Source organism: Homo sapiens, chromosome 10 (genome assembly GCF_000001405.40).
Source record: "Homo sapiens chromosome 10, GRCh38.p14 Primary Assembly".
Taxonomy (NCBI): domain Eukaryota; kingdom Metazoa; phylum Chordata; class Mammalia; order Primates; family Hominidae; genus Homo; species Homo sapiens.
In genome coordinates, this window is record NC_000010.11 from 3,747,137 (window position 1) to 3,769,515 (window position 22,379).

At 45.6% G+C, this 22,379-nt stretch overlaps 4 long non-coding RNA genes across 5 annotated transcripts in view, besides 5 other annotated features; 2 read left to right on the forward strand and 2 right to left on the reverse strand.

Moving 5' to 3' along the window:
- Window positions 1-3,628, forward strand: part of LOC105376360 (uncharacterized) — a 432,070-nt gene extending 428,442 nt beyond the window's left edge. Inside the window, exon 2 of the long non-coding RNA NR_131187.1 lies at window positions 1,552-3,628. This is a non-coding gene — a long non-coding RNA (uncharacterized LOC105376360). The remainder of the gene's footprint in view (window positions 1-1,551) is intronic.
- A 1,062-nt stretch (window positions 3,629-4,690) lies between these two features.
- Window positions 4,691-8,161, reverse strand: LOC124902540 (uncharacterized). Its single transcript, XR_007062364.1, has 3 exons — window positions 7,817-8,161; window positions 6,521-6,634; window positions 4,691-4,882 (listed from the first exon to the last, which is right to left on the reverse strand). It is a non-coding gene; the product is annotated as an uncharacterized LOC124902540 (long non-coding RNA).
- Window positions 7,591-8,790: an enhancer, noted in NCBI's record as "CDK7 strongly-dependent group 2 enhancer chr10:3796919-3798118 (GRCh37/hg19 assembly coordinates)". NCBI's record gives its function as "activates an origin of replication core promoter dependent on BRD2, BRD4, P300/CBP, MED14 and CDK7 cofactors, with strong dependence on CDK7, by STARR-seq in HCT116 cells {active_cell/tissue: HCT116}" and the evidence as "EXISTENCE:reporter gene assay evidence [ECO:0000049][PMID:35650434]".
- LOC105376361 (uncharacterized) lies at window positions 9,445-10,914 on the reverse strand. The gene is made up of 3 exons (XR_930578.4): window positions 10,824-10,914; window positions 10,351-10,452; window positions 9,445-9,529 (listed from the first exon to the last, which is right to left on the reverse strand). It is a non-coding gene; the product is annotated as an uncharacterized LOC105376361 (long non-coding RNA).
- Window positions 10,692-10,911: an enhancer, noted in NCBI's record as "active region_2910". NCBI's record gives its function as "activates an Ori minimal core promoter by ATAC-STARR-seq in GM12878 lymphoblastoid cells {active_cell/tissue: GM12878}" and the evidence as "EXISTENCE:reporter gene assay evidence [ECO:0000049][PMID:35858748]".
- On the forward strand, window positions 13,166-22,184 carry LOC105376363 (uncharacterized). Of its 2 annotated transcripts, XR_001747332.1 has the most exons (4): window positions 13,166-13,354; window positions 15,882-16,257; window positions 20,736-20,911; window positions 21,436-22,184. It is a non-coding gene; the product is annotated as an uncharacterized LOC105376363 (long non-coding RNA). The 2 variants fall into 2 exon arrangements; XR_001747331.1 differs by lacking the exon at window positions 13,166-13,354 and having other exon boundaries at window positions 15,237-16,257.
- Window positions 13,945-14,044: an enhancer, noted in NCBI's record as "active region_2911". NCBI's record gives its function as "activates an Ori minimal core promoter by ATAC-STARR-seq in GM12878 lymphoblastoid cells {active_cell/tissue: GM12878}" and the evidence as "EXISTENCE:reporter gene assay evidence [ECO:0000049][PMID:35858748]".
- Window positions 15,460-16,659: an enhancer, noted in NCBI's record as "P300/CBP strongly-dependent group 1 enhancer chr10:3804788-3805987 (GRCh37/hg19 assembly coordinates)". NCBI's record gives its function as "activates an origin of replication core promoter dependent on BRD2, BRD4, P300/CBP, MED14 and CDK7 cofactors, with strong dependence on P300/CBP, by STARR-seq in HCT116 cells {active_cell/tissue: HCT116}" and the evidence as "EXISTENCE:reporter gene assay evidence [ECO:0000049][PMID:35650434]".
- Window positions 18,686-19,885: an enhancer, noted in NCBI's record as "BRD4-independent group 4 enhancer chr10:3808014-3809213 (GRCh37/hg19 assembly coordinates)". NCBI's record gives its function as "activates an origin of replication core promoter dependent on BRD2, P300/CBP, MED14 and CDK7 cofactors, and independent of BRD4, by STARR-seq in HCT116 cells {active_cell/tissue: HCT116}" and the evidence as "EXISTENCE:reporter gene assay evidence [ECO:0000049][PMID:35650434]".
- Window positions 22,185-22,379: the final 195 nt, after the last annotated feature.

Consider the following 22,379-nt stretch of genomic DNA (forward strand, 5'->3'; position numbering starts at 1 on the left):
ATCAGGGGGCGTCTGCAGGAGCATGTGGCCAGGCATGGGTGCACCTAGATGCGGTGAGCAGGGGTACTGGAGAACAGGGTCCCTGACAGAGGGATGCAGGTCGTGGAGGACATCGGCCAGGGACCCTGGAGCGCCATAAAGCTGCTGGGGCTGAGGCAGGATGAAGTCGGCACACGCGATGTTCTCTGTTTCTCAAACTGGGGGACGGCGGGATGAAAGCGGCACCCAGGAAGGCTCAGCCTGGCACGAGTGTGCGAGCTGAACGGAATGTGGACGGTGTTGGCCCAGGACGCAGCTCAGAGGCTGCTGCAGTAATCCCGGCGTGAATGAGGCTGTAATCCCCACAGAATGATGTGCTGGGCAATGTGGAGCCTGGCTTCATTTCCAGCTCTATTTATGGCTCTGAATTACAGGAAAAGTGGGGGAGGGCACTGCTCCTGAAGCTCCGTTTCCTCCTCCCGTGGTCCTAGGTATCTGACCACCTGCAGCCACAGTCCCTGAGCACACTGTGCATGCGGGAAGCCCAAATACACAGATTCTGGAACTTTCCGAAGACACAGAGGGTGGCTCTGTTCTTCCCCTGAAGGCAACTCATCCATGCCACACGTGTCTTTATCACTACCGGAAAGCTCCAATGCGTCCTAACGCCTCCGGTTTGATGGTTGACTCTGTTTCACTCTGAACACCACAGAAGAAGACGGCCGTGCCAAAGATGCACGGGAATGAGAATGTTTGCCAGATAGGAGCACAATTTTCATCAAGCTTGGTTCTTAGGAGTGACACTCACTTTATGACATAAACTCAAATTTCTTTTACACAAAAATCAGGGGCAGTAATAAAAAGGTATTCTATGTGACCGGGAAGCATGGTCAACCGTGAAAACAGAACTTCAAAACAAGAGGCAGAGCCAATCAGGGAACGCTTCCATACAAACAACGTGCACAGCAAGGGCTGAGAAAAATAAGGCCTTTTCCTGGGTATTGTTTTGTGGGACTGCATCACGGTTGCAAAATTCGTGTGCCTCACTGGAAGCACAATGTTCTGCACTTACACCCTAGTAAATATTTTTACAAGATAATACTTCATGATAAAGGTGTTTGGCTCACAAAACCTCTCCCTGTCAACAACTGGAGGTTGACCTGTCACTTGCCCAAAGCTGTACAAACACTGGTGGGGGATATTTGCATCTGTCACTTCTAAAACACCCTCCTTTTTAAATCTAGTATGAAAGACAGTTTCCTCCAAAAAAAAAAAAAAAAAAAAAAAACCAAAAGCTGTTTCTTTTTTTTTCTTTTCTTTTCTTTTTTTTTTTTTTTTTTTTTAATGTTCCTAAGACTGGGGAAATCTGAATCTTTTCCTGAAAGCAGAAGTGACTGGCTGGCATGAATTAATAGGATTCATTGGTGCTGACTCCCCCACCTGCACATTCCTGCCCACAGTCGCGAATCTTGACGATGACATCCATGAGCACAAAGAATTATGCCAGGCAATCCTAGAGAATGGGAGTGTTTAACCTTTTCCTCGCCATCTTGTCTACTTTTATCTCTGCAGAACCCTCTGTGGAAGCGGTGGTCTGACACAAGCATTTCTGGATGACGCTGAACCTGCTTACAACTCCCTGCTGCTGTCAGGCAGAACATTCTCCAAACCGCATGAATTTGGAAGTCTGGACACTTCAGGCATCATCAGGTTTATGGTTTTGTCATAACCCTGCTGAAAGTCCTTTACCATCTCCAGGCCTCCATTTATTTTCTATAAAATAAGGAGTTTGGAATGGCACTGTGTTGATATTCTCCAGTTTTGTGAAACATCGTACTCAACAATCGCGAGCAGGCATTTTACAGACCTTGCTTTCCTAGACCTGCTCAAGTAGAACATTCAGGTCAGTGCTAAGAGTTAATATGCTGCCTCCGTCTGACCTCCACATTATGAAAAAAAATATAAAGGAAAGAGCAAAAGGTAGAGCAAGTAGGTTTCGGGCTTGGTGGAGTAGCTCTGAGTGCTGCCCTGTCCTTGGCTGTGTGTGCCAGGTGAAGCGTCTGTGAAGGTCCCCAGTGGGGTGTGCAGAGCACAAGGGCTGCTTCTGAATGCAGGCACGTGATCTAAGGACACTGTGCATCACCAGTGTGACCCCAGGAGTAGTTTCAGAGCTTTGATAAGACCTAGGCCAGGCTCAGTGGCTCACGCCTGTCATCTCAGCACTTTGGGAGGCCAAGGTGGGTGGATCAGCTGAGGTCAGGAGTTCAAGACCAGCCTGACCAATATGGTGAAATCCTGTCCCTACTAAAAGTACAAAAATTAGTTGGGTGTGGGGGCGAGCGCCTGTAATCCCAGCTACTTGGGAGGCTGAGGCAGGAGAATCATTTGAACCCGGGAGGTGGAGGTTGCAGTGAGCCGAGATCACACCACTACCCTCCAGCCTGGGAGACAGAGCAAGACTCCATCTCAAAAAATAATAATAATAATAATAATAATAATAAGCCCAGGAACATCAGATGTGGGCTGCATTGACGGCCTGCCTCTCTCTACACCACAGGAATCTGGGCTGTAAAGGCAGGATATAAATTCAAGTCCACATGCTATGGAGAAATCAGAGGTTTCGAAAGTATCTCCGTGACTGTTTTTGAAGTCACAGCTAATAATTCACCGTCTGACACTCCGGGGCTTGCCTGGATCTAAAAATAGTTGTTCCCCCGAGCTGGTCGGGGAACTGGCTGAGAAGGGAGGGAGCTGCGTGGAACACATTCTGAACCATCAGGAAACCCAAAGCAAAATCGAATCTTGCCACCTAAGATTTGATTATTAAAAGATGGATTTGACAGCTGATTCCCCATTAATTACATTTGTAAAGATATTTGAAAGACAGGAATGAAATGACAGTGGCCCTGACACAGTCCTTGGGGTTTAAGACGGAGTCTGACATTGTATCTGTCTCCGGTTCTGCAGCAGCTTAGCGACATCAGAGACAATTGAAGCAAAGGGCCCACTTATGGCTGACAGCTGACCCTGCAGCCCAGCTGGGAAGCCCCTGAGACGACCCGGGTCCAGCCATCAGGGAAGGGAACCAGCGTGGCCCCAGGAGGGCTTTAGGCTGAGGCTTCTCCCAGGATGTGGAGGCTCAGCACTTTGCACAAATTGGATTCATGCCAAAGGAAACTGAAAGCCTGCCTTTCTTTTTTTCCCAGTGCACATCTCAGATTATTTGGCCTTTGTCCGAGGACTGAAAACAGTTCTGTGTCCAAGTATGTTTTTAATACCTGATATTTATTTCACAAAAAAGCTGAAATTGCTTTGTGTGTCCAGGCTTGAATGTTTAAGGCATACTTGATTAATACATGTGTGCTGAGCGCTTCCTGGGGCTCCTAGACACTGCCAAAGGTAGCTCAGTGGGGAAATTCAAGGCAATTTTCCCCTTAACTTTTGCTACTTCTGACCATTTTCCACTTATGTTATTATGCTTCTGTATCCATCTGTCTGCCTATGTCTAGCTATCCATCATCTATCAATCAATCACTGTATCTTGCAATGGAGGAATTAACTGTGATGTTTTCAAGCGTGTCGCTTCTCTCATATTCCTATTAACATATTGGAAACGCTCAGCTAAATAGAATAAAGTTTTTAGCCTAAACCTACAGTGAATGTCTAATGCTTTGGGCAAGATATTGAAGGGGTGGGGGAGAGATAATATGAATGCTTTCATAGACACAGCTGGACTTCTTTCCCCCTAAACATGAGTGAGAATTCTTTCTATGCTTCTAGTTGAGATTGTAGATAAATAGAGAAATCACATTTGAACATAGGAAATGGCTTCTGATAAAGAAGGCACATTCCTGTCTCTCTCACACACACATGCACGCATGCACGCACACACGGACCTCCCACCCACCCATCAGAAGCGTATCAGAGGCCTCTGCCTCCCGCCAGGATTCCCGGCTGCAGGACACAGCCCAGCAGGAGAAGCTTTTCCCTCCATTCTTTCAAGGGTGAGTGGACACATAGGCTGGTGTCGCGTGGTTTGCTTGGTCAAGTGAGGTCCAGTTCCTGGAGGTGGGTTTCTTTCAACATCTGAGAACAGTCACATGGCCCATAGTGCAGAGCCTTCAGAGAGGAAAGGCACTGGTTCCAAGCATTTCAGTTTAGTTTCATTCAAATGCAGAAACATGGAAACACAGATTAGACTCGTATGATCAAGTTGTACTCGAGCAAAGAACACAATACCAAATGTTTGATTTCTTAAGAGTGTCCTGAAAGAGTCTCACATACACTCAAAGTTAGTTACCAAGTTCTTTATGAGATCTTTTCTAAGATTATGAATATAATATTTGACTTGTGTAAAGCATCATGTCATTGACTAAAGAAAATATGCATATATATAATATATATATATATACAAAGTTGTATAATATTTAAAATATTTCTGAGTGGTATGGCTTGAAAAGATATTACAGTAACCGATTATCATTGTATGGGAAGATGCTTTATAAAACAAGATTCTTCAATATAGGATATTCTCAGTGGCGTTATTTCTTGACTTCTATTTATCAGTAATAAACTTGGTAGAAAATGTTAAAATAATGTCAGAGGTTATTTAATGGGAAATATGTATGTTTCTTTCCATTATAAGAAACTATATATCTTATAATAGGACATTTTTCTCACCTCACCTAAAAATAACACAGAATGTCTTATTTCATATAAATATTAGTTTTAAAAGGTTTTAGTCATATATCTTGTATCCTATTTAATTTGCGTTCTTTTTACACTTAGAATGAACACAGACCAATTCTAACAAAAACATAATAAACACAGAAGCGACACGTGGGCTAAGTTCAGGTATGAGACATTTGCGCCTTCTGTCCGCAGTGTTCTCAGGAACGTGTCACTGTGGATGCAGACATGGTTTTAATGGGAAAGAGGTAGAAATTTGCCCAGAAAATTGTATGTCATAAGGCATCATCCTGGAGACAAGCCCTTGAACTTGGGCTCTACATTATATAAAGACAATCACTGAAGGTGAAGGAGAAATTGCAGTAGAAGGAGGACAGGTGCTTGGAGAAGTTCCTGTTCTGCCCCAAGGGTGTTGGGGAGGCCAGGAGGAGCTCTGCTTCCTGCAGGGCTGTGTGTTATCAGAGTAGCCCCTGGTGGCCTCAGAATGATCCCCTAGAGAGTGGAAATCGGCATGTACAGTTTGCACAGAGGCAAGCATGCCATATCCCAAGTTTAAATACACCAGTGTGCACCTTTGTATGATGATTCTGACATCATGAATGCAGCAGGTCTCATCGTGATGGGATCTATTTCATAAAAAACATTTTGAGGACTAGAGAGAACCATTTCCTATCACAGTCTTTTTTTTTTTTTAAGACAGAATCTCGCTCTGTTACCCAGGCTGGAGTGAAGTGGCCCAATCTCGGCTTACCACAACCTCTGCCTCCCAGGTTCAAGCGATTCTCCTGCCTCAGCCTCCCAAGTAGCTGAGATTACAGGTGTGTGCCACCATGCCTAGCCAATATTTGTATTTTTAGTACAGACAGGCTGGTCTCGAACTCCTGAGCTTCAGTGATCTGCCTTCCTCGGCCTCCCAAAGTTCTGAGATTTATAGGTGTGAGCCACTGCGCCCGGCCCTCACAGTCAATTTCTTATGAGGATTTTTCTTCTAAATATCCCAAAGAAGCCATGTGGGGCACAGCCCTGGGGTGGTGGGCAAATCAAGAGTCAAACTCTGAATGTTTCCTATCCCAGGGAGAGGGAGAAAAGAATCTAATCCAGAGAGAAATTGGAAGGCTTAGTATAAGAAGTCATGCCAGATTATCAGCTCCTATTTTGGGCCAGGCCTTTGAGGGGCAGCGTCCTGAGCCGTGAGGAGCAGGTGTCAGGCTAGGGCCTGGTGGAGACATCAGGAATCCTTACACAGTTCCAGGGAAGAGGGAAGAAAACCCACTGAGGACTGAGGAGGTTGGTCATGCCAAGTGGAGGTGAGGAGTGGGGCTACAGGAGGCTGATTTCCTGCTGTTCAGCAAGGAAGTCTTGGGTTGTTTGCCACTCACGTATTTTACGTTTCTAACTAAGACACAGGACTTCAGGAATAAGATTGCCCTGGAATGTCTCCATCAGTGGCTCTCTCCTGGGGTTGACTTGGCTTCCCACATCCCACCCGAGCAGGGGACATGTGGCAATGCCTGGAGGTAAGTTTGCTTGTCACAAGTGACAGATATGCACCTACCATCTAGTGGGTGAGGGCCAGGGGTGCTGTTGAACACACTGTGTACAGGACGGTCTCCTACCACAAAGAACTGTTTCCGTCAGAATGTCAACGTGGCTGAGGCTGGGAACACACACTCTAACTCTTTGGAAGGTGCTATGGACTGAATATTTGTGTTCCTTCAAAATTCATGTCGAAATCCTGACCTCTTAAGTATTAGGAGATGCCATCTTTGGGAAGTGATGAGGTCATAAGGATGGAGTCCTTAAGGATGGGATTAGGGCCCTTAGAAAAAATGGCCAGAGAGAGCTCCCTCACCTCTTTCACCGGGTGAGGACCCAAGGAGAAGGCACCATCAACGAGCCAGGAAACAGGCTCCCACCAGACACCGATTCTGCCAGCATCGTGATCTTGGACTTTCAGCCTCCAGAACTGTGAGAAATGAATACTTGTTTAAGCCATGTGTATTGTTACAGCAGCTCGAATGGCAAAGACACAAAGCAAGGACATGGCTCTGATATATTGAACTGAAATGTAAATTATATAACAATATTTTACATATATAGAAAATGTTCACCAAGGCAGGCAGATCACCTGAGGACAGATCAACACCAGCCTGGCCAGCATAGTGAAACCCTGTCTCTACTAAAAATACAAAAATTAACCAGGCGTGGTGGTGGTTGCCTGTAATCCCAGCTACTTGGGAGGCTGAGGCAAGATAATCGCTTGAACCAGGAGGTGGAGGTTGCAATGAGCTGAGATAGCACCACTGCACTTGAGCCTGGGTGACAGAGTGAGACTCCATCTCAAAAATAAATAAATAATAATAAAAAAAGTTCAGATAAATATATAATAAAATGATATAAATTTTAGAGCTATAATTTTAGGCTCTTATATATGTCCTCCCCATAATGGGAGCCCACTGCTCTGGGGTCAGTCAGGTCTCGTAAAGCAACATTTTTCTGGCTGTGTTTGAACTATTTTTCTCTAGTCAGAGTGAAAAGAAAGGCAATCCTGGCTTATAAAGCTAAACTTTGTCACTTGCAGGGAAAGAGTGCAGCTGTGTGTCGTGGGCTGGGTTCTGCGTAACCTCGGATGCCTCTCCTGGCCTCAGTTTGCTCACCTGTCTTAGTGTGATAATAACAGTATCTGCTTCAGTTTCCAAGAGGACTAAATAATACAAAACACATATCTTGGTGTTTTGTGCATAATAAACCTTAAATGAGTATTTGCCATCATTTCTGCAATGTTTAGCTTTGTATCTGAATTATTACACGGAAACGAATCTAAATTCAGAACAACTCACAAAAATAATATATTAACATAAGATCTTTTGAGTTAATTTAAAACATTAAATAATATTTCCAATGAGAGTTCTTTTTCTGCCCTTCTCCTCACCCCCCAAACTGTAAAGTGAACAAAGATGGTATCTGTTGATGGAACCCTGCCTCAAAGAGGTTTGGGAGATGACAGAGTTTGATTGATCTGTCACCTTGTGGAAGAGCCCACTTTACATGCTAACAGCTTTTGAGTTCTTCAGGAAGGAACGGCCTGTGACTGGCTGAATCAGCACTCAGCTCCTGTTTACTACCAAGTACAGTACCATTTATTTACCTTGGAGTAACCCTTCACCCAGCATCGCCTCTTGAAAGCTTCCGAGGAGAGGAAACGTACTTCAATATGAAGTCTTATTTCTCAACAGTTCTCCTGGTCGAGTTTAAAATTTAAAAATTATCTTGCCAAGCTTTCTGCACTGTGATTTATGCAAGAATGGTACAAGAATGAAATGGATTGTCTTGGCAGGCTGAGTCACTGCTACGATATCAGGGAGTATCTTCCTGCTGCAGAGGAAAGGGAACACGTCATGCTCTTTGAGTCACAAACCTTCTAATCATCACCTGTCTGAAAGGGGACCTGTTGTAACTGACTCAGCTGAGATTCGCCAAGCAGGCACGCTGAGTGAGTACAGATACCTGGTTAGCAGGTGAGGATGCTGGGGTGAGATTGGCAGCTGTCACTCTCTGAATTTTGACATGGAAGAGGGTCAATATCTGATGCAGGAAAAGTGGGCACCTTTGCATACTAACACAGTGGGCTCACTTACATAATTACACACATTTATCGTCTGTCATTTAGGCCTTGAAATGTATGAATTAATCCTCCTTGTGATGGGAGCGCACTGCTCTGGGGAAAGTCAGCTCTCATAAAGCAACATCTTCTTGGCTGTGTTGGAGCTGTTCCACTTATTCATTCTCTGTTATCACATTCATTGTGCTGGAAACATTCCGGTCAATGTTTTCACTTTTCCTGGGATCCTAGACAATGTCCCCACCATAGCTGCTCTGGAACAAGCAGCTGTGTGGCGATGGTGACTCATTCAACAGAAGTGACTTGTCTCTGGTGAACTCTCCTCTCTGTCTCCTGCCTGAGCTGAAAGTCACAAATCAAATGATAAACCTGGAGCCTCAGCCAGTATCACCCCCGATCTTCAAAGTGGTTCTGAAGGGCCTCAGATGTCTGGCTATTAAGAAGTCCTTCAGGTTTTGTTTGCCTCGCTAATCCTGCCTGTCCTGCTCTTCAGATAGGCAAAGGAGAATTGCGCTAGGCTACAGCTCAGGGCCTTCATCTAAGGCTCTTGTCAACAGCTCTTTGGAGGGTCTGGAGGGCTGGGAAGAAGGAGTCGCAGGTTCCTAAACTACCACATTTCTTCCCACAGTCAAAGTCCTCTGGTCTCCCGAATTTTGTTTCCAACACGACCATGTTGTCTTTGGAAAGGGGGATGTGGGTGGGAAGAGTCTCTAGGTATTCCAAAGTAAATATCAAAGAAAAACTGTAACTGGGAGTTTTTATAAAGGGACAAGTTGTACAGGTTTTCCACTGATCCAGCTGAACCGAGGTCCTGTGGGAGCATCAAGCAGAAATTCCTACCAAAGAGTAAGAAACAAACCAAACGAAAATGATGCACACACAGAAAAAAGGAATAGCGTCTGCTACAATTGCTGCCTGTGCCCGGGTCATTATTTCTATGAGTGGGACCTGAAATGGACAGCTGTCATCGGTCAAGGCTGCAGCTGTGTGTCTTAGCTTTGCCTAGGGAAAGCTCTTTTCCAGACGGAATACAAATGCATTCCTCCTCCTCCTCCTCTTCTTCTCCTCCTGCTACTCCTCCTCCTTCTTCTTCTTCCTCTTCTCTTCCTCCTCCTCCTCTTCCTCCTCCGCCGCCACCGCTTCTTCTTCCTCTTCTTCCTCTTCTTCTCTTACTTCTTCCATAAAGTTGAAGTCCCAGGTTGAGTGAATAAATGCTTTTTGTTCCTTTGAGAGGTTCCCCTAAAAAATGAAAACAGAATTCTCTAACATCTTGCATGAACAAAAGAACACCTATTTACAAAAAAGCAAACAGCACATCCAGCATGCTGCTATGCACCTCACTTCTAGGGTGCAAACTCTCATAACTGTCCGAGGAGAAGCCAATTCCCCTTCACAGGTGAGGGCCAGTGAGGTGCTTCCTCAGGTCTCTTGGTCTAAGGAGAACAAGGCTGGTCTTGACTTCCTTAAGGCATAGCCATTTCCAACAGCGAAGCATATTGAAAAATTCTGGAGTCAAGTTGGCTTTTCAAAACCCACACCCCAAGAGAATGGCAAAAGAGAAATCAGCTGCTGCATTGCTGTTCAGTTTTGCTGTTATTGAAGCTATCTGTTTTAATTATTTCAATCAATGGTGTTCTTATGTGTACTCTTTGGAACTTTAAGCAAATGGAATAATGTAGAAAATCCAATAAATAAGTAAAGGGAGATGAAGAACAGAGAACACTGTGTTTTTCAGGGAAAAGAACAATAGCAGCAGTGGTGTCAACAGAGACTCCTCTTCTCTGTGGCCTTGCTGGCTTGTGCTGCAGAGATACTGGCTCAGTTCTCTTGGCCTTGTCACCTAAGGTCAACACCAGTCTCTCTTCTGTTATTTGGACTTCTTTAAGTAGCTAAAGGTCTCCCTGTGGCTGCTTAATTTCAGCCATCACTACAGTGCTTCTGAGCGACATCATGGTCCTACAGATGTCACTTATGTGTGTAAACCACAGATCTGCACCTGGGCAAACTGGTCCTCATGGAACCACGTCTTGCCGAGACAACCCTACAAACAGGAAACTCACCTGTGTTTATAAACACCATCTTACTTAGCGATGGGTCAAGATTCCCGGGCAGTCCTAGGAGCAAAGTCCCAGAGATTCCTGCATCGTCGAATCTTATTTGCCCTGAAAACAACAAATTACATTACTAAGTGAAGGGAATACACTCAAATTATCTCTAAAAGTGTAATTTGTCATCATTAGCAGAAAAAGGTGATTCAAAGAAACATTGTAAAAATCACCCTAAGGACATCTTCTCGGAATCTTAGAGAACAAGATGACTCACCTTTCCTGCCTTAACCAGCAACCTGTCTGGGCCTTGCTCAGAGCTCATCTCGCACCAGAACAGCCTCCCCGCTGCCTCCCTCTTCCTAGAGGCCATGCTGTTGCCATGTGGTTTAAATCATAGCTGATGCCTATGCGGTCCTACCATGTCCAGAACTTCTATTTATAGCGTCTCATGTAATTTTTATTTATTAGATAAGTGCAATAATCACCGGATGAAAAGAGGCACAGATGACCCTGTCCAGGAGCAAAGTGGTGGCAGGACTGGACCCATGCCAGGTCCCAGCCAGTCCGTTCCTCTCCGCATGGCCCAGCCGCTGGGCTCTGGAAGCTGCAGGCAGGGTCCCTTGCAAGCCGGTGGCCTCAGCCCCATCTCTTTACTTCTCTGCAACTTGTTTTCTCTATGTGCAAGCTGTGACTAATCACACCTCCCTTCAGGGGATTTTCACAGGTTTCATAAGTGAAGTAAGTGCCTATTTTCTTTCTTTCCCTGTGTGTACCTTGTATACCACAGATGGACACGTGTCTAAAATACCTATTTTGTCAGTCTTTTCCTCCAACTCAGAAACACCGAGAGCCCTCCCCAATCCCAGCATTTCTATCAGGAAAAGGCTAACATGCCACCGGCAGCAAAGAGCTCAGTGTCACCAGACATCATTTTGCAGATAAAGAAAGGAAATCCCCGGGTGGCTGAAAATCTCCCCAAGTATGGGCCCAGGGACCTTGATGGGTCAGGTCTCACTGCATCCTGTCCCACTCTGTCCCAGCAAACTTTCTTCTCCAGTCAAAACTGGTCTCACTCTCTGAGGAACACCTGTGCCGACACTCAGGCACAGCCTATGGGGAACACTGCTCCCTGCCCTCTCCCACCCAAATCAACACACCTTCAAAGGAACAGAACACTTCTGCGCCTGGCAAGGCTCCCTTTCCTCTGCCTCCTCCTTCACAGAGACTTTGGGATTGTCCTCTGATGACAGAGTGCCCTGCCTCCTGATGGAGTGACGCTGGGATTAGAGGTGGGATGGAGGATGCCTGCTCACACCTCCCAGATCATTCACCAGGGGGCAGGGCCAGGCCATCATCCCACTGCGTTCATCTTGGCCAGGTGCGATGGCTCACACCTGTCATCCCGGCACTTTGGGAGGCCAAGGCAGGCCAATCACTTGAGGTCAGGAGTTTGAGACCACTCTGGCCAACATGGTGAAACCCCCTCTCTGCTAAAAATACAAAAATTTGCTGAATGTGGCGGCACGTGCCTGTAATCCCAGCTACTTGGGAGGCTGAGGCAGGAGAATCACTTGAACCTGGGAGGCGGAGGCTGCAGTGAGCCAAGATCGCGCCACTGCACTCCAGCCTGGGCTACAGCGTGAGACTCTGTGTCTCAAACAAACAAACAAACAAAGTTTGAAACCACTGTGTTCATCTCACACCTTGCAGAGAGATATATGCCCAGGATGGGGCTGAATAAAAAGCTAATAATAATAGCCACCACCTGTGGAGAGCTTCTCTTGGACCACGCATTCTGCTAAGTCCTTCTCTTGTATGAGGTAAGTACAATTATTAACCCATTTTACAGATGAAGAAAGAGAGACATACGCTCTTCAGCAAACTGCCCAAGCGCATGCATGTAGTAAGTGACGGTATTGAGATTCAAGTCCAGGCAATCTGTCAACCACGCACATGCTACTAGGGAGGGAGGGAGAAGGGGAGGGAGGAAGACAGAGAAAAAGGAAGGAAAACAGGAAAGGAGGAAAGAGGGAGGGAGAGAAAGGAAGCAAAAGGAAGGAAGGCAAAAAGTGAAGGAAGGAAGGAAAGAGAGGGGAAGGAAGGAGAACAGGAAAGGAGGAAAGAGAGGGAGGGTAGGAGGGAGAGAAATGAAGTAAAAGACGAAAGCAAAGCATGGAGAGCAGAAGGAGGGAGAGGAAGTCAGGAAAGGAAGAAAAAGGAAGGACAGGGAAGAAGAGGGAGGGAAGAGTGCTGAGAAAGTTGATTTAACAAAACAGATTTTTGGTCTCCACCTGGAAGGACCAGTTGTGCCCAGAGAACCTTCTCTGTCTCCTCTAACCATGGGATAAAAGGAGATTTCCACAAGAGCGGCTCAGGGACGCAGCCCATCTCTTAAGAAGGAGGCTCTGAGAGGTGAGTCCAAGGGTGTCTGTTCTGTGCGATTTTGAGGCTCTGCAGGAAAAAATCCTTAGCAGAATCCGAAGGGATGGAGTCAGGACCAAGTGACTTTGAGGGCCAAAAGGGAAAGTGGGAGGTCCGTGGTTTAAGGACAGCAGAGTCAAGGATGAAAAGATGCCTCCTTGCGATAGTCCCCAGGTTAGTTCTTTTTGAAATGAGTTTTTAGCCCCGATGTGACTGAGAAGTAAGGGGCGAATCTGTGCAAACACCGCGTTGTGTCCGCCCGGCTCCCAGTGCTCCCAGGTCTTTCTGGAGCAGAGCGGTTTCTGCGCATCACGGTCCCACCATCTGGATAAGAGGAGGTCCCGAGCCTGAGCTACTCTGGGGGCCTCTGGGTGCCCGGGGCCAGCGTCATCGGCTGACACTGCCACCTGTTCTCATGTCCCTTTTTGTTTCTTTTCCAGGGACAAGACCATGGATGCAGCACATGGCCACAAGGCAGTTTCAAGATGCCCATGTCAGGCAGAGGATGGCTCAGTGGTCTCTAACCCACCTAACATTTCATGAACTTTACTCCTGGTCCCGCTCCCAAATTAGACACTGGAGATAATGGATCACTGTAAGCATAAAAGGGGCTTTTTGTTTTCTTTTACAAATATGCCTAGATAATTCTCAGATACACCTGAGTAACAGCACACGTTCTCTACCTTTCAGACCTGTTGAGGGTGAGAGGGAGACGGTTAATGAAAGGCTGTGAGAACGCGATGCACAGAGTCCAGAGAACTTTTGAGATCATCATTCCCACCTCTGAGTTCCCAGCACTTTTTTTTCCAAAAACCGTTTCATACTTAACTAAGGAATCTGTGCTTAATTATTAGCATTAAGGAGAATAGTGAAGGCTAATTGTGGCCAGCGTTTTATTCTTCAAGGTGCAGAAAAACATACATTTCCTTCCTTCCTTCCTTCCTTCCCTCCCTCCTTCCTTCCCTCTCTACTTCCTTCCTTCCTTCTTCTCTCTTTCTCTCTCTTTCTTGCTTTCTTTAGCCTGTGCAGGAGTCAGACTCTGTATTGCATTTAGAATGAAGATAAGTCAAATTTTTAATCCCTGAGCCAAACACATCGGGTAACTTTCAAGTTCCCCAGAATCTTCTGATTTTCACTTGGGTTCAAAACCACAGTTCCACATGCAGTTGAAGTGGCATTTTCTTCCATTGGCAACTTCTGCATTTGGTATCAAACCTTTGGTTATGCACAGAGCTGAGGGAGAGCAAACCGATTCTTCACGCATGTTCCACCCTTGGAGCACTCACCCCTACCTCTAGGAGAGCCCCTAAAATGAGCTTGAGTCCTCCATCCAGAAACGAACCAACACTTCTCACAGAGAAGATGGCAGGGCCTCGTGCATCAGAACCCCAGCCAATCAGGACTGCAAATAAATACCCAGAAGCTGGTCTCAATGATGCGCTTGGTATAGGAAATGAAAGACGGAACCAATGGTTTCAACAAAATGAGAGCAGAACTGAAAGTCTGCAAATAAAAATTACAGGTCCTTCATCACAGCTTTCCCTCCACACAGGCCGTAAGAAAACCATGCAGTTCTCTAAGAGAATGTTTTTTTTTTTTTTTTTCCAAGAGCTCTTGAGTCATCTTGGTTTCTGTCTCTTGATGTAGAATTGACTCTGAAAGCAATAAAATAGTAAAAACACCTCATTCCCCTGCTTTGCATGTAATGGACTAACCAGGAAGATAAAATGTCCCACTTCCGGGGCTCTTCACCTGACATCACCTTAGTTTGAAGTTACTTAGCTTGGTATTCTGGCATATTTTAGAAAGCAAAAAGCACCTTAAACCTTAACATTTTGTGTCATTTCTAGGCCAAACACTTTGGGGCTTTTAAAAAAAGTACACCAAGATAAAGTCATCATTGACTCTGTTGAAAGAAATGGTAGGCAAAAATAAATAAATAAATAAATTTGACAAATGTATTAAAAATTCAAGGCTAAATGGGTTGAACAAAAGATTGGAAGCCGAGGTAATCTGTGAGAGATCCATGCCCAGCTGGCTAAGCTTTTCATCCTTCGGTTCTTACCCCTGACTTGCTGAACCAGCATGGTTAGAAAATGTGGGCCACACACACAAACAACGTTGAAATTCCTTGGATGTCAAGCTTTTGATTCACGCCCATTCTGTAAAGCATTAGGAGGTCAAAGGTGTATGGTTTTCTGCACTTTGGAAAAGAAGGAGCTGACCATTTCCAGCCTTCAGTGCTCTCTTTCATGCTAATAATTGAGCTGGAATTCCTGAAGAATGACACTGGGCGCTGAGGTTCGTCCTGGGAAGTAGGGGTGGGGTTTGTACCTGCAGTTTGCATAGGATCCTCCCACTGACCTGCCTGTTAGAAAGGACAGTGGCTTCAAAATCTGTTTGTTGTTCATTTGTTTTTCTCCCCATAGAGAACAAGGTGAGTGGAGGTATCTTCAATGAGAAGAAAGGCCTGAGCTCCCATTCTCCTGTTACAAACACACCATGTCAAATATTTTTCGAGTCAATATGTTTTAATAAGTGCTCTTTATTTATTGGGGCTACAATACTACAGTTGAAATTGTTTGCAGACTTCATTGATTTTGACTGGAGGTCCCTGGAAGGCATGGTGGTTCCTGCCTCAGCAGAAACTTGTGTGGCAATAGGAGTGGAGGCCAGAGAGTCCTTAGGTCAGTCCCAAATTCCCTGGGAAAAAAAGGGTTAACTGTCCCTGCATTGAATTAACTGTGGGGATAAAACATTTGTGAATACCATGTACACACATAAAATTGCCCCTAAACAAATTATTCTGGAGATACGTTATTCTAGCAAATGGTCATTCGCACAACGCACACAGCACAGCTGTCCTTTCTGGGTTCGTATGATTCAGAAGGTCCCAGCTGAATCGTGACAGCAGGTGCATAAGTGGCCTCGAGCTTTTTCCTCATTATTTCCAGCAAACCCCGTCTCTGTCTACTTACCTCCTTCCTTAACAGCCTTTTCCTAACCAATTCTTTCTGCTCCCCTAGAAATATTACATTCTGCAAATGCGAAAGGAAAAGAAATGGGTATCTGCTCAGTGCCGATTTCAGAGAGTATCTACAAAGCTTTTCTCTTTTGCACAGATACTGCACTGAAGACTCGGAGGGGTTGAGCCGCTGGAGCCACGCAAATTCAGACACCTCTTCCGCCCCAGGTCACTCTACTCGCCCACGCTGCCTGCCACACCCATCCGGTTGTGCGGGACACTCCCCGCGTTTCTTCAGCGATTCTTATCGGGCTCCCTCCTTGTTCAATAAAGGTGAAGGGTGTGGGGTTTTCTGTGCATACGCTCAGGAAGTTGAGTCCCGGTGAAACGTGTCAGGTTGCCATTTCCCAGGCTGGAAAGATTTTCCCAGGACGGGTATGAATAGACGATGAAAGTGCACACTCTTACCCGGCTGCCCGACCCAGGTGCCAGGCTTCTGACTCAGGACCATCTGTGGGTGCGAGTGCAGGGAGGTGAGTCACTGCAGCCTTGCTCAGTCCCCCTGCAGAGGTCAGATCCTGGGCCCCAAAAGCTGCTCCAGGATGAAAGCCTGCTCTCAGTGAGACTAAAATCCTGGTCATTTGTGTTCTGCAGTCATGAGCATGTAACCCTAATGTAGAACAACAACTTAGCCAATGACTATTTTTTCTGTTCATGCCACAGTACCTGAAGGAGAATTGCTGCTTCTCTTAATGGTGCCTGCCACCCAACCCAATAGTTAGCATGTGAACGTCTTGCTTGAGATCAGCTTCTGGGTGTAAAAATAAATTTAAATATAGAAAATTCAAATAACACCCATTCATTTATCAAAGATCTCAAATGTTCTATGATCAAGGCAAAAATCTAGTAGCCAAACAGAGGGTTCCCTAGCTGGTTTGACAGCCACACAGAAGGATGGTTTGTACACAGCCACTATTTTTCTAGAAGCCAGGGTAGCTTATGTTTGGGACATATATAAAATACAAGGTAAAGGCTCTTTGATTTGGGGAGGGATGATGGGAGGGGAAATAAAGGCATAAACATGAAGTAACAAGGGAAGTCAAAAATTCAGGTAGATAAGGCGAGAGCTGACGCTGTTGCAATCCATTCTTCATTCCCCATACGTGAGTTGCCTGAGGTTTCTGAGGTCACAGAAGCTGTGATGAACATGATTCAGTAGGAAGCAAGCAGGAATAGGAGCCAGAATCCTGAGTTCTCCTCTCAGCTCTGATGCTGACACTGTGATCTTATTATGTAAGATTAAATAAAAATCGTGTTTTAGACACGTAGGCAGAGAAAAAGTCACCATGCTGAAATTGGCCAAGGGACTGAACAGAACCTGTTGCGTAGGATCTTTTCATGATTCTAAGTTCTACAGGAGTTAGACACAATATCTGAACGGTCTCAGGTCTCTATCTTTAAGATACTAGAACTCAGGATTGAACTGGAATTTGAAGCAGAATACTCTGTTTGCTGAGTGCTGAGTTCTGCCAAGAGATAAATTTTTCTCCAGCCTCTGCAGACAGAGGCACCCTGAGCTCCTGGGATCTGGGGCAGCAGCCTCAGGGCTGTCCTGGATTTGAACGGCAAGTACAGAATTGCACCCATCCTCTCAGTAAACCTGAGCAGTAGACATCCCCATGCCCACTTTAGAAAGAGGGAGGTTAAAGCTCCCATGTGTTAATCAGTTCTCATGGTTAGAAACTTCTGGAGCTGGCATTTGAGAGATCTGTTGGACTCTGAAGCACATCTGTCTTCTCATTTAAGCCCTGTTCTAGGCATTTGCCCATACAGGGTGTGAGACTGGGCTTGTCAGTAACGTCCCTGCACTTGTAGAAACAGGACAGAAGAGGCTGCTGGCATGGGCCACCACACAGGCAATGGGCTAAGAAAGAACAGTCAGGATGCAAGAGAGAAATTTCTCCGAGTTCATAACCAGCCGATTGTGCAGGTGCAAACTTTGTGATCTGTGCACACCAAAGATCATTTCCGTATTTGCCTTGTAGCTGCCACTGTTGTTGTTTGCTAGGGAAAGGTGATAGTCCCTTGAAAACCTGTTCTGTTGCCCTGAGGCCACTTGATATCCAAAGTTTTCTTCATCCCTCAACCACAGCAAGCACTGACCCTCACAGTGACAGAGTGTGGGCAATGCACTCTGCACTCCTGAGTTACACAAATAAGGATTGATTTGATCGTTTCAAAACAAGGAGGTCACTGCAAAATTCAACAAATGCTCAGTAATGCCATTTTCTTCGCTGAGAGCTCCTCCTCTGCCAGCAGTACATGTCCCTCTCTAAGAAAAGGACTCTCAGAAGTGGGCAGATCGTAAGAGCTATGACTGATGATGAAGCAAAGATGAAAATCGTCTTCATGACTTGCATGTGCAGCAGAGGAAACCACAAGTTATTCCCTGCAAGCCGGAAGCGGGCGGATGTTTTCATGGCCAAAGCCAGCAGTCCCCATTTCTGTCTGTCATATTTTAGGGTAACTTGATGGAAGAGAGGGAGCAGGTGGCAGGGACAGCAAAGCACAGGCACCTTCTAGAAACAGTGAAGGGCTCAAGACATCCTGAGAATGCCAACTGGGTGCATGTGTCTGCTTTTGACCCACCCCAGATCTTTCTGTTTCTGAGTCCTGTACACCTGCAACAAGGGTAGGAGGGTAGTTTTTTAAATCGTTTTCCCTGTTTTACAAAGAAGAAATTACAATTACAATCTGGATCCCATGGGGCTGTGACATACATCACCCACCTTTGTGCCAGGACTGGGGCTAAGCTCCTTGCAGATACAATTTTTAATCCTGACAATCTTCCAGCACATTTGCTATCCTCAACCCCAGTTTTACAAATGACAAACTGAAGCAGAGGGAGGTGATGAAGCAGCTGCATCATATTTGAACACAATTCTCCCAGTTAAAGGTGCATTTCCATGCATTTGCTCTTGAGAGCTCCTCACCAACTCGCGAATTTAGGAAGATGAGAATTTCTCCTTCAGATACGTAGTGTGTTGGCCCACATCACAGAGCTAGTAGGGAGCTGGGTTCTGGAACCCAGGCCTTTGAGCTTCGGTGCATTTAATTTGTTGCTGAGATCTGAATATTTCCTTGTGACTGATCATGAAAACGTGATGAAATGGAAAAGAGTTACTAAAAGGAATGGTGGACGTGGGACTGGAAACAAAACAACGTGCCTCTAAGTTAGCCATTGGGGTAAAAGTGGAGCGAGGTCAGAGGCTCGTCAGGACTGTACTGGGCACGGCCCTGGCCTCCTCACTCACTGCCCACAGCAGCCCTCCCAGGGGACTGCACTGGTGGAGGAGGGGCAGACCCAGTCTGCCCTCGGATGGGACGCAGGGATTCAAAGTCCATTTTTCCATCTGAAACACTGACTGCATCACACGTTACCTTTAACTGGAAAAAGACAACATGCACTTTGCAATGTTCTGCGTTAAGATGAATACATGATGAACAGTGACAGCTTAACTGTCTGGTTGACCTTGAAGAAAAAAAGACAACCATTCTGTTTTAATGTAGTCAAATAAACATCAAGTGGCTTGCAAGTAAAAAGCAGGAAAAGGCAGCACTTTGTGAAAAAGGAGGTTTGGGATTTGTAAACGTTTTAACGAGTCATCTGGGAAAACCCGAGGTGTGTCTCCTGTGCAAAAGACTCACATCCGGAATTACAAAGGTTTTGCATTTAGCACAGAAGTGATGCGTCGAAACACCCGATTGTTTAAATTTTAATGACAAACAAAAAACGTGCTTTAATAAGATTTCACTTTCATTTCCCTGAGTAGCTATGTTCTGGGGCCTGTGAATCTTCTTGGAGCATTAAATGCATTTGTCAATTTGGGGGGTAGCCTTTCAATTAATATGAAGTCAAAATAAAAGGACACTCACAGGTCCTTTCTTTCCCAGGTGGGGGTTCTTCCTGGTGTTGTACTATTGAGAACTGAATTGACAGGTGTGTGGACATCCCTGGTCATTGTCTTCTGCTGTCTAACCACGTCGTCTTTCCCATAGGCTTTCCATCTACTGAGAAAGGGGAGAAGGAAGAGAATGAAATGGAAAATGAGTGATTGGTCTTATGTAAACCCTTCTAGGCAAAACAGGAACCAGAGGGGGTCTGATATTTTGGATCAAATGAGTTGCTGGTTTTATTTAGAGATCCTGCTTAGAATTAATGCGTCCATGCTGTTGGAGAAGAGAGCAAAGTAGTGACAACATCAGGCTCATTGTTCATTCATTCATTCATTCATACATTGAGCATTCCTAGGGGCTGAGGAGTCAAGAGCCATTAAATTTTATCCAGTAATCTTCCCTTATCTGCGGATTCGCCTTTGGCAGTTCCAGTAGCCTGTGGTCAACTGATGTCCCAAAATAGGTGAGGTCTCAAAATAGGTGAATACAAGAAGAAATTTAGAGAGAGAGAGAGGAAGAGAGAGAGAAAGAGAAAGAGACCACATTCACATAACTTTTATTAGAGTATATTGTTGTAATTGTTTTATTTTATTATGTTATAGGTGATCTCTTACTGTGCCTAATTTATAAATTACACTTTATCACAGGTAGGTATGTATAGGAAAAATCATAGTATATATATATAGGATTTGGTGCTTCCATACTTTCAGGCATCCACTGGGAGTCTTGAAACGTGTCGCCCTGGGATAAGGGGGACAACTGTATGCACAATTCTTTGTCCAAAGGACTCATCCTCCAGGGAGGAAGGGAGAAGGGTGAAGATGCTCAGAGTACAGGTGGCCACTGGCTCTCCCAGGACATTCCATCCATTTCTGGAACGTCATTATGCTTCAGGGAGGTCATACCGGACACTCACTACTGCTCAACAGCTAAGCAGTAGAAATGAAAACAGATGTTCTTTGTACCTTGTTCAGCTCTACCCTGAGTATTCTATGGTAGAAACTTCAACCCTTGTCCATAAATGGGGACATTCCGCTGCCTCTTTCTCTCACAGGTGTCATTTCTGAGCAGGGAAGGTGTGATCTGGGGCCAGAATGAATGGCCCTGGTGACTTCTTACCTGATTCATCCCACACCAGTCAGAAGGGGCTGTGAAGGCAGCAGCGAAGGAGCCACACATGGACGTGGAATGGGCACGCTGACCATCATGGTCACGACTGCAAGAAAGCAGGTACTGAGCCCACTTCTGTCTGAAGACTGTGATATTGAGCTGAGGCCACACACACACACACACCCACACACACACACACACACACACACAGCCTTTGCTTCGAAAGGACCAGGTCCCTCATCATGCATTGTCAACAATACATAAAAGCTGAAAGGCGCCTCACACTCGGGCTCACGCTCCGCAAGTAGCCAACATGCAAGAAGAGACAGAGGGGCTTCCAGCATGGTGCCTGACACCTGGAGACACCCACTACTTACTGTGTGGGTGAATGAAGAAAATGCGTACCTGGCTCCAGAATGGCCCATTGCTGGTTGGCATGGGGTTCCGTTGCTTAGAGGTGAGAGGGTGAGTATGGGCTCCACTGGAAGACAATAGGGCATAGATGTGGTTCGGCCACATATTTCATCAAGGTGCACCTGTGACTTCTGCAGCATCTAATTTGAGAAATTGATAAAATGGCTAAACAGTGTATATTATGGTAGTCGGAGAGATGAGTTGGTTATAACCCCGGCTCTTTCTTGCAGGGCTGCGTGGGTTAATTGGCTGTGTCTGAGGGTCACCCCTGCACAAGGAGGATGATGACGACTGCCCTGTGCAACCCTGGGTCATCTCAGGGGAGAGCCATTCCCAGGTTCACAGCAAGCACTCTTTTACTCAGATGGGCCACCTGCATCAGGCCCCAAGGAAGCACTTATTAGTAGAAGAAAAAAAACAAAAACCCAGAAAACAGCCAGTGAGACTATTTTACAAACAAGCGAAGAGCAGCAACTGAAAGCAACAATAACTACAACATAAATCCCTCTGCAAATATTTGGGATTTCATTTCCACTAAGGATAATGATGGCGTAGAAGGCATGTCTGTGGGAGTTATGCACACAGGGAAAAAGGTGGTGAAAATAATCAACCAAAAATAACAAAATTCAATTAATCAAAACAGAACAAAATAAAATGAGCCAAACAGCATATCTGAATATAAGCATAATAATTGTCGTTGGACAAACCTTTGTCAAATCAAATTGGCTTCTAGCACACGGGCTGATACTTTGTGATTCAAGTGGTGTTCTACCCACATAATTCATTTAGTTGCAAAGAATGTAACAAATAATGCAATTATTCCAGAGGATCACGGTGAGACATCTATTTGGTGGTGCCTTAAGCAGAGTGCCCTGATTCAGAAGAATTAGACCAATCTCTGGATTCACAGCCACTCATGAAAACTGTAGGCCGGGCACGGTGGCTCATGCCTGTAATCCCAGCACTTTGGGAGGCCAAGGCGGGTGGATCACGAGGTCAGGTGATCGAGACCATCCTGGCTAACATGGTGAAACCCCGTCTCTACCAAAAATACAAAAAGAAATTAGCTGGGAGTGGTGGCGGGCACCTGTAGTCCCAGCTACTCGGGAGGCTGAGGCAGGAGAATCGCTTGAACCCAGGAGGTGGAGGTTGCCGTGAGCCGAGATCACGCTAC